The sequence below is a fragment of the Homo sapiens genome, chromosome 10 (assembly GCF_000001405.40).
Source record: "Homo sapiens chromosome 10, GRCh38.p14 Primary Assembly".
In the NCBI taxonomy this organism is placed as follows: domain Eukaryota; kingdom Metazoa; phylum Chordata; class Mammalia; order Primates; family Hominidae; genus Homo; species Homo sapiens.
The window spans coordinates 64039256-64051825 of record NC_000010.11 but is presented as its reverse complement, the minus strand read 5'-3'; the positions used below and the strand labels follow the sequence as shown (position 1 = coordinate 64051825).

Below are 12570 nucleotides of genomic sequence, written 5' to 3'. Positions count from 1 at the left end.
CTGCCCTATTGGATTTCAGACTTGCATGGGGCCTGTGGCCCCATTGTTTTGGCCAATTTCTCCCATTTGGAATGGGTTTATTTGTCCAGTGCCTGTACCCACTTTGTATCTAGGAAGTAACTAACTTGGTTTTGATTTTGCAGTCTCATAGGTGGAAGGGACATGCCTTCTCTCAGATGAGACCTTGGACTTGGACTTTTGGGTTAATGCTGAAATGAGTTGAGACTTTGGGGGACTGTTGGAAAGGCATGATTGTGTTTTGAAATGTGAGGACATGAGATTTGGGAAGGGCCGGGGCAGAATGATATGGTTTGGCTGTGTCTCTACCCAAATCTCATCCCGAATTATAGTTCCTATAATCCCCACATGTCATGGGTGGGACCTGGTGGGAGGTAATTGAATCATGGGAGTGGTTACCTCCATGCTATTCTCATTATATGAGTGAGTTCTCATGAGATCTGATGGTTTTATAAAGTGCTTTTCCCCACCTTCACTCAGCACTTCTCCTTGCTGTCACCATGTAAAGAAGGGTATGTTTGCTTCCCCTTCCACCATGATTATAAGTTTCCTGAGGCCTCCTCAGTCCTGAGGAACTGTGAGTCAATTAAAACCTCCTTCTTTTATAAATTACCCAATCTCGGGTATTTCTTCATAGCTGCATGAGAATGGACTGATACAGACCGTATGCCCATTTCCCTGGGACATTTTCTAGTTTATGCCTATTTCCTGTCTGGTTTGAAATTTGTACCAGTTTTCATCTTGTAATAACAAAAGTATCATTCTTAATAGTTGTATTTTTGGAAAAGGAGAAATACATTTGATAGATTTCCACTTTGTACTTCCAGCTTCTGCCATGGTCTGGTATACTGTGTGAGACACATGTGCAGTGGAGCAGAATTCTCACTCTCATGCATGAGGAAATCTCAATAATTAAAGAGATAGATTTTTAAAACTCATAGTCACTTTAATACTTGGTTAGATCTGACAGATGACAGTGATAACTCATTTAATTTTCTGACCCTTTGCAGACAGTCCCTTTGTGGAACAGTGGCAGAGTGCCTACTGATAACACAAAGTGTGCTCTGCCACTAGCACCCAGAGACTAATACCTTGTTGCAGCCACAGTTGTAGGGGGAGAAGCATCTAATGCTACTACTGGCACCTCTCGGCCAGTGGGTGGACAGGCCCCATGACCTGTGCTAAAATCTGCAAGCTACACAAAGGTGCAAGGTGTGGAGAGGGAGGGCTCAATGGCAAATGTGAGATATTACAGCTTGGACATATAAAAAAATACACATAAAAATTGAGACTAAGCAGTCCTGTTGTAGAGGATATACACCCAGTAGTAAAACTGCTAGATTATATGGTAGTTCTATTTTTAAATTTTGAAGAACCTCCACACTGTTTTCTATAATTGCCATACTAATTTAAATTCTCACCAACAGTGCATAAGGATTTCTTTTTCTCCACATCCTCACCAATATTTGTTATCTTTTGTCTTTTTGATAATAGTCATTCTAACTTATGTGAGGTGATATCTCATTGTGGTTTTAATTTGCATTTCCCTGATAATTAGTGAGGTTGAGCACTTTTTCTTAAACCTGTTGGCCATCTGTATGTCTTCTTTTGAGCACTGTCTCTTCAGATCCTTTGCCCATTTTTAAAATTGGATTATTTGTTTTCTTGCTATTGAGTTGCTTGAGTTCCTTATATATTTTTGATGTTAACCCCTTATAAGAAATATGATTTGCAAATATTTCCTCCCAGTTTGGAGGTTGTCTCTTCACTCCCTTTATTGTCTCCTTTACTGTGCAGAAGCTTTTTAGTTTGACATATTCCAATTTGTCTATCTTTGCTTTTGTTGCCTGTGCATTTGGGGTCACACTCAAAAAATTATTGCCCAGACCAATGTCATGGAGCTTTTATCCTACGTTTTTCTTGTAGCAGTTTTAGAGTTTCAGGCCTTAAATTTAAGTCTTTAATTGATGTTGAGCTAATTTTTGTATATGTTGTGAGATAAGGGTCCAATTTCATTCTTCTGCATGTGGATATCCAGTTGTCACAACACCATTTATTTAAAGGATTGTCCTTTCCCAATTGTGTGTTCAGAGCAATTTTGTTGAAGATCAGTCGGCTGCAAATGCATGGATTTATTTCTAGGCTTCCTGTCCATCTCCATTTTTCTATTTGTCTTTTTTTTATACCAGTGCTATGCTGTTTTTGCTTACTGTAGCTTTGTGGTATATTTTGACATCAGATAGTTGATGCCTCTAGCTTTGTTCTTTTTGCTCAAGATTGCTTTGGCTATTTGGGGTCTTTTGTAGTTCCATACAAATTTTAGGAATTTTTTTTCTATTTCTGTAAAAAATGCCATTGAAATTTTAATAAGAATTTCATTGAATCTGTAGATCACTTTGAGTAATATGGCCAGTTGAACAACATTAATTCTTTTAATTCATGAACATAGAATACCTTTTTATTTTTGTGTCTTCAATTTCTTTCATCAATGTTTTACAGTTTTCAGTGTGTTGGTCTTTTACCTCCTTCATTAAACTTATTCCTAAGTAATTTTTATGCTATTGTAAATGGGATGGGTTTTTTCTTTTTTGAAATTTTTTATTTATTTATTTTTAAATTTATATTCTTTTCTTTTCCCTTCCTCTTCCTCTCCCCACTATCTTTCCCATCCTCTGATAACTACCATTCTACTTGCTATCTTCATGAGGTTCACTTTTTTACCTCCCATATATGAAATCATGTGATACCTGTTTTTCTGTGCTTGGCTTATTGCACTTAATATAATAGCTTCCAGTTTCGTCTATGTTGCTGCAAATGACATGATTTCATTCTTTTTAAGACTCAATAACATTCTGTTGTGTGTATACACCACATTTTCTTTATCCATTCATTCATTTTTGGGCACTTAGGTTGATTTCATATTATGGATATTATGAATAGTACCACAATGAACATGGGAGTGCAGATGTCTCTTTGATATATTGATTTTCCTTCTTTTAGTGTATACCTAGTAGTGAGATTGCTGGGTCATATGGTAGTTCTATTTTCAGTTTTTCAAAGAATCTCCGCGCTGTTCTCCATAGTGGCTGTACTAATTTACATTTCCATCAACAGTACATGAGTGTCCCCTTTCTGCACATCCTCACCAGCATCTGTTATTCTCTGACTTTTTGATACAAGCCATCTTAACTGGGGTGAGATAATATCTCATCATGGTATTGATTTGCATTTCTCTGATGAGTAGTTATATTGAGTATTTTTTTTGTTAACCTTTTGGCCACTTGTATGGCTTCTTTTGAGAAGTGTTTGTTCAGATCTTTTGCCCATTTTTAAATCGGATTATTTGTTTTTGCCACTAAGTTGTTTGAGCTCCTTATATATTCTGGTTACTAATTCCTTGTCAGACGGACAGTTTGCACATATTTTCTCTCATTCTGTAGGTTGTCTCTTCAGTTTGTTGATTGTTTCCTTTGCTGTGCAGAAGCTTTTTAGCTTGTTATAACCCCATTTGTCTATTTTTGCTTTGGTTGCCTGTGCCTTTGAGTTCTGTCTTAGAGAAAATAAAAGTCTTTGCCTAGACTAGTGTCCTAAAGTGCTTCCCAATGTTTCCTTCTACTAGTTTCATATATTCAGGTCTTAGATTTAAGTCTTCAATTCATTAATTCATTTTGAATTGAATGTTGTGAGAGATAAGGTCTAGTTTCATTCCTCTGCATATAGTTATCCAGTTTTCCCATTTATTGAAATGACTGTCCTTTCCCCATTGTATGTTCTTAGCACCACTGTTGAGGATAAATTTGCTATAAATGCATGGACTTATTTATGGGTTCTCTATCGTGTTCCACTGAAATATGCATCTGTTTTTATGCCAGTGTCATGCTGTTTTGCTTATTATAGCTTTGTAGTAAATTTTCAAGTCAGGTATTGTGATGCTTCCAACTTTGTTCTTTTTGCTCAGGATTGCTTTAGCTATTTGGGAACTTTTGTGGTTTTATATAAATTTTAGGATTTTTTTCTATTTGTGTGAAGAATGTCATTGGTATTTTGATAGGGATTACAGTGAATCTTTAAATTGCCTTGGGTAATTTTGGCCTTTTAACACTATTAATTCTTCCAATCCCTGAACATTGAATATCTTTCCAGTTTTTGTGTCCTCTTCAACTGCTTTCTTTCAATTCCTTTTATTAGAGTTTTATAGTTTTCCTTGTATAGATCTTTCACTTCTTTAGTTATATTGATTTCCAAGTGTTTCATATTCTTTGTAGCTATTGTAAATGGGGTTGCTTTCTCTAATTTTTTCAGATTGTTTGTTATTGGCATATATAAATGCTACTAATTTTTGTGTGTTGATTTTGTATTCTGCAATTTTACTAAATTTATCAGTTCTAATAGTTTTTTGGTGAGTCTTTAGGTTTTTCCAAATATAAGATCATGCTATCTGTAAACAAGGCTAATTTGACTTCTTCATTTCCAACTTAGATGCCCTTTATTTATTTCCCTTGATTAATTGCTCTGGCCAGAACTTCCAGTATTATGTTAAATAACAGTTGTGAACATGGGCATCTTTGTCTTGTTCCAGTCCTTAGAGAAAAGCCCTTCAATTTTTCCCTGTAAGGTACAATGTCAGCTATAGGTTTGTCACATATACTTTACTATTTTGAAGTACGTTCCTTCTATATCCATTTTAATAAGGGTTTTATCATAAAGGATTTTGAATTGTATTGAATGCAATTTATGTTCTTGATTCTGTTAATGTGATTTATCACGTTTATAGATTTGCATACATTTAACCACTCTTGCATCTCTGGGATGAGTGCCATTTGATCATGGTGAATGGTCTTCTTAATATGCTGTTGAATTTGGTTTGCTAGTATTTTGCTGAGAATTTTTACATCTATGTTCACCAATGATATTGGCCTGTAGTTTTCTTTTTTGTTATATCTTTGTCTGGTTTCACTATTAGGTTAGTATTGGCCTCATAAAATGAATCTGGAAGTATTCCCTACTAGAAGAAATGGATAAATTCCTGGATACAACAGCCTACTGAGATTGAACCAGGGAGAAATAGAAAATCTCAACAAACCAATAACAACTAATGGAACCAAGCCATAATAAAATGTCTCCCATCAAAGAAAGGCTCAGGACCTATGGTTTCACTATTGCATTCTATGGAATGTTAAAGAGAACTAATACCAATTCTATTCAAACTATGCAAAAAATAATTGAAGAGCAGGGAATACTTCCAGATTCATTTTATGAGGTCAGTACCAATGTAATAGTGAAACCAGACAGATATAACAAAAAAGAAAACCACAGGCCAATATCATTGATGAACATAGATGTGAAAATTCTCAGTAAAATACTAGCAAAAGTACCTGTAAAATTAAAAATATTTAGGCTAAACTTCCTACACATTTAAATACCAAAAAAGCAGTGAAAGTGTACACCATTTAGTTGCATTTGCTATTGTTTTACCAAGCACCTTAGCATCTGTAGAGAAATCATTTTATTTTATTGATGGAAAATATTATACTCTACCAAGAAGAGCAATTGAAAAAAGCAACAATTGCCAACTTATTACCATAAGACACAACTTTAAAGAAGATGAAAGGCAATTTGTTTAAAATAGTCTTAAGAATAAGACTATATTTAAAAAAATTCTTCAGAAAAATTCCAGTGACACAGTACTAGAGAAAACATAGCTAAGAATCTGATCAACATATATGAATATATACCAGGAAGAATTATACTGCTTGTATTGTTTTTAAATATTCAGATATTTGAATATTAAGTTTTTATTTTGCTTTACAATTCATAGATATGTTATTTATTTTTTAATAGATTTTTTAAATAGCTATTGAATGGATTGGTTATATAAATTCACCAACAAAATAAAACAATTTGATGGTCAGCAAATAATTTTGGAGAACATAATTTTAATGATTTTTAATCACCTCTTTGATTTTCTAAGGCCTCCCAGTTTGGATGATAAATTATATGGTCACTCTAGCCCTGGCCCATCATAGAAAAATAATAATTTCTATTCTGGGACCTACTGCAGAAGAAGAGAGAACTCAGCAACTAGTGCCACTTCCATTTTTTCCTTTTGACCTGTGCTAATAATTAGAGGATTTGTTTTGTTTTCTGGCCTCATAAAATGAATCTGGATCTGGTTTTTTTTTTTTTTTTTTTGCAGTTGCAAGATTTAATAGAGTGAAAACAGAGCTTCCATAAAATGGGAGGGGACCCAAAGGGGGTTGCCGTTGCCTGCTCGAATGCCTGGATTTATATCCCGATCATTGTCCCCCGCCCTGTGCTCTCAGGTGATAGATGATTGGCTATTTATTTACCTTCTGTTTTTGCCTAATCAGCATTTTAGTGAACTCTCTTTACTACCTGATTGGTTGGGTGTGAGCTAAGTTGCAAGCCCCGTGTTTAAAGGTGGATGCGGTCACCTCCCCAGCTAGGCTTAGGGATTCTTAGTCGGCCTAGGAAATCCAGCTAGTCATGTCTCTCAGTTCCCCCTCTCGACAGGAAAACCCAAGTGCTGTTGGGAAGGTTGGCCGACAACCACTCTAACTGTTTCCTGCTGAACTGGCGCATAGTAGGGGTCGTGCAGTTGAGATTTCCTCGGGAGGGGTGCCTTCGATGTCACTAGCATCGGAACATGGGCTAGCAGGCCTGTCCAGGGGTCCGCGGTGGATCTTAGTCATGGACTGCATCTGGGGCTTCATTTGAAGAACAATTTGTAGTTTTACAACTTTGATTCTGGAAGAGACAAACTTAACAAGGAGGTTAAAGATACAGGGATTTAAATGTATAGCCTGCAGTGCAGGGGATTATTTCTTTGGCACACTTCACAGGCCCTGACTATCTGCTTGACAGTTTTGAAAAGGCCTCGTCCAGTAAATAATGATTTGGCCATCTGATGGGTGTTATCAATACCTAAGTGAAAGGTTTGGTGAAGGGTTTTAAGTAATTTCCAATGGTTAGCTGCAGGCATGAGGACATAGTTTCCTCCCCTCAGGATAGCTAGCCACCGAAGAAGGAAAAATACTTTTGGATTTGTTTTCTTTTTAAGCATCCAGTGTTAAGCCTACAGGTGGGCCAAGGAAAACTGTAATAAGCTCAAAGTAAATTATCAAGGCACTTTATAGAAACCATTCAGCAATACCATCCAATATATTTATTGTATCAATCCTCATATAAAGATTTACTTTTACACTTTTAACATTTTATTTTTCTTAATCAAAGATAGAACTATCTGTTTGACCAAAAATTGTTTCTTTCCAAACTCCTGCCCTCACATCGTATAAGATTAAGTATGTAAGTGATGAAGTAGCCAGTGGCTTTGTTTATTTTGAATAAGTGCTTGATTCAACAACAAATAGTAGACAGCTAATTAGCCATGGTAGTTTTCTGCTTTAATATTGCCCAATCAACCAGGGAAAGAATGATTCCCATTGAAAACTCAGGAGTTCTGAGTTTGAGTCCAAAGTTTGAGCAAACTATCCATTATGTACTGAATTGTGTTCCCCCAGAAAGACAGGTTAAAGTTCTCACTCATAGTTCTTCAGAATGTGAAAACATTATTTGGAAATGAGATCTTTGTAAATGTAGTTAGTTAAGTTACGAAGTCTTACTAGGCTAAGGCGGGCCCTTAATACAATATGACTAGTATCCTTATAAGATGAGGGAAATCTGGACAGAGACACAGGAAGGAAGAACACCAAATAAAGACAGAGGCAAGATTGGGGTGACGCAGCTACAAACCAGGGAATGCCAAGGATGGCCAGCCACCACCAGAAGGAGAGGGGCCTGGAACAGATTTGCCCTCAGGGACCTTAAAAGGAACCTATTCTATTGATACTTTGATTTAGGACTTCTGGAACTGACAGACAATAAATTTCTTTTGTTTTAAGCTACTCTGTTTATAACACTTTGTTACTGCAGCCCTAAAAAACTAGTACACTCTCTAATCCCTGTAACCCTCAGTTTCCTCCTGTGTACAACGAGTGCACTAGTAAAATCCACTCTCAAGCTTGTAGTGAAAATCAGAGTACTTAATGTCTGGAAAAGCACTCTGTGAACTGTAGAGCACTAAACCCATGACACAGACACCTTGGAAGGAAGAAGGATCCACAATTCCCCTCCTCTGAGACTTTCCCAGGAACACATCCCGCCACCTGACCCAAGAAGGCAAATCAGATTTTCTCTCTTATGAATAAGGAGTTGATACCAAAGCTCTGATCATTCTGTGTAGAGCACCTGACCTGAAGGACAACCACCTTTTTCACTGCACTGGAAGCAAGGGGAGAGAGTCTGCAGGGAGAAAGGGATGAAGCAGAGGCCCAAGAAACCTGGGGATGTTAGGCCACACAGCCCCAGAGAAAGACTCACAGGATATCTGCATGGTTCCCTCAGGCTTTCTCATTCTTGCTTCACACCCTTTCCTCTGGACTGTAAGCACCTTGCACCTGCATCATTTCCTGTACTCCTCTGTCACTGGGAGGATGTCAATATGAAGCTAAAATATAAATACATACAATGGCATTAAAATGATAGAATATAAGAGATAAGAGGTGAGAAAAAGGGTGGGAGGGCGTGGTGGGGGAGAGAGAGAGACTGAGAGAAAGACTCAGGCTTACTTTTTTTGACAGTTCAATATAAATCGTGCAAACTCTGGGCTACACCCCAACTGAAAGGCTACAAGAGCTATAATTACTGCATATTAATGACATCACTCCAATTGATTTTGAAAAGAAAAGCGCTACGTGACATTTGCTAACATTATTTAGTATTTCTGAGACCTCAATTTTATCCCCTATAATGGTTGAACAAACTCTATTAGTGGTTCATAAAACTGGGGATGCTGGAGGTATAGGGGTCGTTGATATTTTCTGAATTTTGAAAGTAATTCATTAAATAATAATTTAAAACTTTCTAGTTTTTTTTGTCATCAACCCTTACAAGCCCACTAGAAAAAGTTTCTTTCTGTTAAGCTATTCTTCTTGGTAACAAGTTAGATCAGCAACTCTGCATGCATTTGGTTAATTTGTCCAACGATTTTTTGATAGACTTAAAGCTTTCCAATCACAGAGTTCTGGGTAGCAATGGCTATCTCTCATAAGGAAAAAGCTAGAAACCAAAGAAAGTGATTTTGAAGCTCCCTTTTGGCTGTAATAGTCCAAGAGTCTTCAAAAATTGGGGGTGGAGCAAGGTGGCCAAAAAGAATACTCCAGTGATCATTTCCCATAGAAACATCCTTTTGAACACGTACCCATGTGGGAAGGTACCTTCACAAGAGCTAAGGAAATCAGGTAAGAGCTCTCAGTGCCTGGTTTTAGCACAATAATAAGAAAAGACACATTGAAGAGGCTAGGAAGGACAGAGTCTCACTGCCTGCTTCACCCTTCCCCTAATTCCAAGCCTGGAAGCTTGGAGAGAGGCATTGCTTGCTTCAAGGAGGGAGAGTGGAGTGAGTGCAGGATTTTGACGTGGAGCCTGGTACCGGGCAGAACTCCAGGTCCCCATCCCAGGCCAGGGCCCGCAGATGGATCGTCTGGACCCTCCCGGGTGCCAGGCCTTGGTCCTGGTGGGATGGGCTCATGTCCGGCCTGCACGGCTGAGGGCGTCTCCAGGGGCTTCGGCCACACGTGAACTAGAGGCAGGCAGGCCGGGGATATGCCGGCCCCAGCCGTGCACTGTGGGTGCGATCCCCCTTAAGGTCAGCCTTGGTGGCCACGTTGCTGCCTCCACCATCCCGCCCCCAAAGCTGGGCAGCACAGTGCAGAGAGCGACTCCGTCCGCTGGGGAAGGGGAAAGCGCTCAGTGCAGGACTTTGTCTTGGAACTCAGCACTGGCCCCCACGAGCCACTGTGAAATCCGACATTGGCTGGTTTCCTCCGTGTGGCAGAACCAGATAACCCCAGGCTGGAGCCTGCGGACGGAGTCGCTTGGGGGACCCGCGGCCCGGTGTGGCGGCCTCGTGCTCTGGGCCGCCTCGGCGCCAGCTGCCTCGGTGGCAGGCAGGCCACAGCCGCGTGAGCCTGGGGAGTAGCCCTGTGCTGGGCTGGTCTCGGAAGCTGCGGACTCCGGGTGTGGCCCAGCGTCGGTCAGCTGTGGTGGCCACGGCGCTGCCGTCCCATCCCTCCCCCAACCCCAGGCCGCCGGGCACAAAGAGAGGCAGCGTCTGCTTAGGGAAAGGAGAGAGAAGTAGCCTCAAGACGTTGCCTTGGAGCCCAGTGCTGGACCCACCAAAGTGAAGCCCAGAGCTAGGCAGAACTCTGCAGCGCCGGAATGGAGCATCTGGACCTGCCCCAGCCTAAGGCGGAAACTCACCGAAGCTTTTTAGGTCCCTCGGAAACAAGGTCACAGGCACACCTGGGCTCAGCGCGCCCTCTAGTGCTGAAAATGTGGCAACACACAAACCACGGACTTGTGGCAAACGTGGGCTTAGGGTGCCATCTAGTGCTGAAACAGCAGCAGTGAAAGAGGTTCAGAGACGGTAACAGAAGGCTTAGAGGCTCTGGAAGGACGGGGACAACGTCAGTCTTTGAAGACTGGAATAAATACCTAGTCTTTCGACACACAGACTTGTCACATGCCCACAAGTATCAATAATAATATTCAGGGAACCAAGACCTCACCAAATGTACAAAATAAGGCACCGGGTGCTATATGAACAGGTGCCCAACATCACTCATCAGGGAAATGCAAATCAAAACTGCAGTGAGACATCACCTCACTCCAGTCAGAGTGGCTACTATCAAAAAATCAAAAGATAAGTGTTGACAAAGATGTGGAGAAATGGGAACCCTTACACACTGCTGGTGAGAATGCAAATTAGCACAGCCATTACGGAAACCAGTATGGTGGTTCCTCAAAAAGCTAAAAATAAAACTAACATATGATCTAGCAATCCCACTGCTGGGTGTATATCCAAAGGAAATGAAATCAGTATGTAGAAGAGATATGTACATTCCCATGTTCATTGCAGCACTATTCACAATTGCCAAAATATGGAATCAACTTAAATATCTATCAATACCTGAATCGATAAAGAAAATATAGTGTGCATATACACAATGAAATACCATTCAGCCATAAAAAAGAATAAAATCCTGTCATTTGTGGCAACATGGATGAACCTGGAGGACATTACATTAAGTGAAATAACTAGCCACAGAAAGACAAATATCTCATGATCTCACTCATATGTGGAATCTAAAACATTGTTCTCATAGAAGTAGAGAGTAGAATAGTGGTTACCAAAGGATGGAGAGTGGTGAGTGAGGAGATGATGAGAGACTACAGTGAGTTAGGAGGAATGCATTCTGGTGGTCTACTGCAAAGCAGGATGACTAAACAATGCCATATTGTATATTTTAAAATAGCTAGAAGCTGTAATCCCACTTTGGGGGGCCAAGGCAGGTGGATCACCTGAGGTCAGGAGTTTGAGACCAGCCTGGCCAACATGGTGAAACCCCGTCTCTACTAAAAACACAAAAATTAGCCCAGCATGGTGGCAGACGCCTGTAATCCTAGCTACTCAGGAGGCTGAGGCATGAGAATCTCTGGAACCCAGGAGGCAGAGGTTGCAGTGAGCCGAGATTGCCCCACTGCACTCCAGCCTGGGTGACAGAGTGAGACTTTGTCTTAAAAATAAAAAAGCTAGAAGAGGGGTTTATGAGTGTTCTCATCTCAAAGACATAATGTTTGAGGTGATAGATATGCTAATTACTCTGATTTAATCAGTTCACAATGTATACAACTATTGAAACATGTTGTACCCCATAAATATGTACAGTTATGTCAATTATAAACTTTTTAAAAAATAAAATAAATTGCCCATCCTAAATTTCTAGAATTTGCAGTAATAACTCATTTTTTAAAAAATAGAAAAAAAATCCAATCCTTTAAATAACACAAAGATGACAAAGGACAGATAAAGCTTTTCAGCTTCAAATTTTCTCTGATACAGAAAAGTGACTGTTCCAAAAACAAACAAAAAACATCCTTTTCTTCAATCAGGAGTATCTGGGTGAATTCCAAGAATCCAAAAATAAAATAACTAAATTTCACTGATTTTATTTGATCTGTCAAAGCCAGATAAATAAAACTTCTCTCAAGTCAGGCCTTTCAATTTGTTTTCTTCTGTTTTTACCCTGCAGTAACTAGGCAGAAAAACCCTATCCCGTTGCCAAGGATCACCCAGATCTCAAGAAATCAATTCTCTGGAAACTCCTCATAAATCATTTGCTTCCCAAACAGCAATGGGCCTGTGAAATTGAAAACACTAAAAAGTACATTATGAAAGTAAAAGTTTCTTTAAAAGCCTTCACGGTTCGCGGAGGCCACATGCACCTTAGGCAACACCAGCAGAGCAGCAGGAGGGGAAAACAGCCGGCATTATTGAAAGGCACGTGGAAACCATAAAAGCCACAAGTCGAGGAGGAATTCTAGAATCAGTACACATGGAGGAGGGCCAGCAAGGTGCAGGCTGTGGGCAGTACCACTCAAATGCCTACAACCCACAGCTGAGAAAAAACA

General features: G+C 39.6%; 1 long non-coding RNA gene across 3 annotated transcripts in view, besides 6 other annotated features; it reads right to left on the bottom strand.

Moving 5' to 3' along the window:
• LOC124902439 (uncharacterized) overlaps positions 1-12570 on the bottom strand; it is an 820351-nt gene that overhangs the window by 641114 nt on the left and 166667 nt on the right. Inside the window, exons 1-2 of one of the 3 annotated variants that reach the window (XR_007062163.1) lie at positions 10360-10406; positions 8419-8545 (exon numbers count right to left, since the gene is read on the bottom strand). The exons of the other annotated variants lie outside the window; for them this stretch is intronic. This is a non-coding gene — a long non-coding RNA (uncharacterized LOC124902439). Of the gene's footprint in view, positions 1-8418; positions 8546-10359; positions 10407-12570 lie in introns of those variants that run through there. 3 annotated transcript variants of the gene reach the window in all.
• Positions 7403-7697: an enhancer, noted in NCBI's record as "tiled region #2403; HepG2 Activating DNase matched - State 5:Enh". NCBI's record gives its function as "activates a minimal TATA promoter and a strong SV40 promoter by Sharpr-MPRA in HepG2 cells {active_cell/tissue: HepG2}" and the evidence as "EXISTENCE:reporter gene assay evidence [ECO:0000049][PMID:27701403]".
• Positions 9611-10111: an enhancer, noted in NCBI's record as "H3K4me1 hESC enhancer chr10:65801475-65801975 (GRCh37/hg19 assembly coordinates)". NCBI's record gives its function as "activates a minimal SCP1, AML or CMV promoter by ChIP-STARR-seq in naive H9 embryonic stem cells {active_cell/tissue: H9 hESC(naive)}" and the evidence as "EXISTENCE:reporter gene assay evidence [ECO:0000049][PMID:30033119]".
• Positions 10295-10374: an enhancer, noted in NCBI's record as "active region_3448". NCBI's record gives its function as "activates an Ori minimal core promoter by ATAC-STARR-seq in GM12878 lymphoblastoid cells {active_cell/tissue: GM12878}" and the evidence as "EXISTENCE:reporter gene assay evidence [ECO:0000049][PMID:35858748]".
• Positions 10395-10474: an enhancer, noted in NCBI's record as "active region_3447". NCBI's record gives its function as "activates an Ori minimal core promoter by ATAC-STARR-seq in GM12878 lymphoblastoid cells {active_cell/tissue: GM12878}" and the evidence as "EXISTENCE:reporter gene assay evidence [ECO:0000049][PMID:35858748]".
• Positions 10555-10644: an enhancer, noted in NCBI's record as "active region_3446". NCBI's record gives its function as "activates an Ori minimal core promoter by ATAC-STARR-seq in GM12878 lymphoblastoid cells {active_cell/tissue: GM12878}" and the evidence as "EXISTENCE:reporter gene assay evidence [ECO:0000049][PMID:35858748]".
• Positions 10655-10704: an enhancer, noted in NCBI's record as "active region_3445". NCBI's record gives its function as "activates an Ori minimal core promoter by ATAC-STARR-seq in GM12878 lymphoblastoid cells {active_cell/tissue: GM12878}" and the evidence as "EXISTENCE:reporter gene assay evidence [ECO:0000049][PMID:35858748]".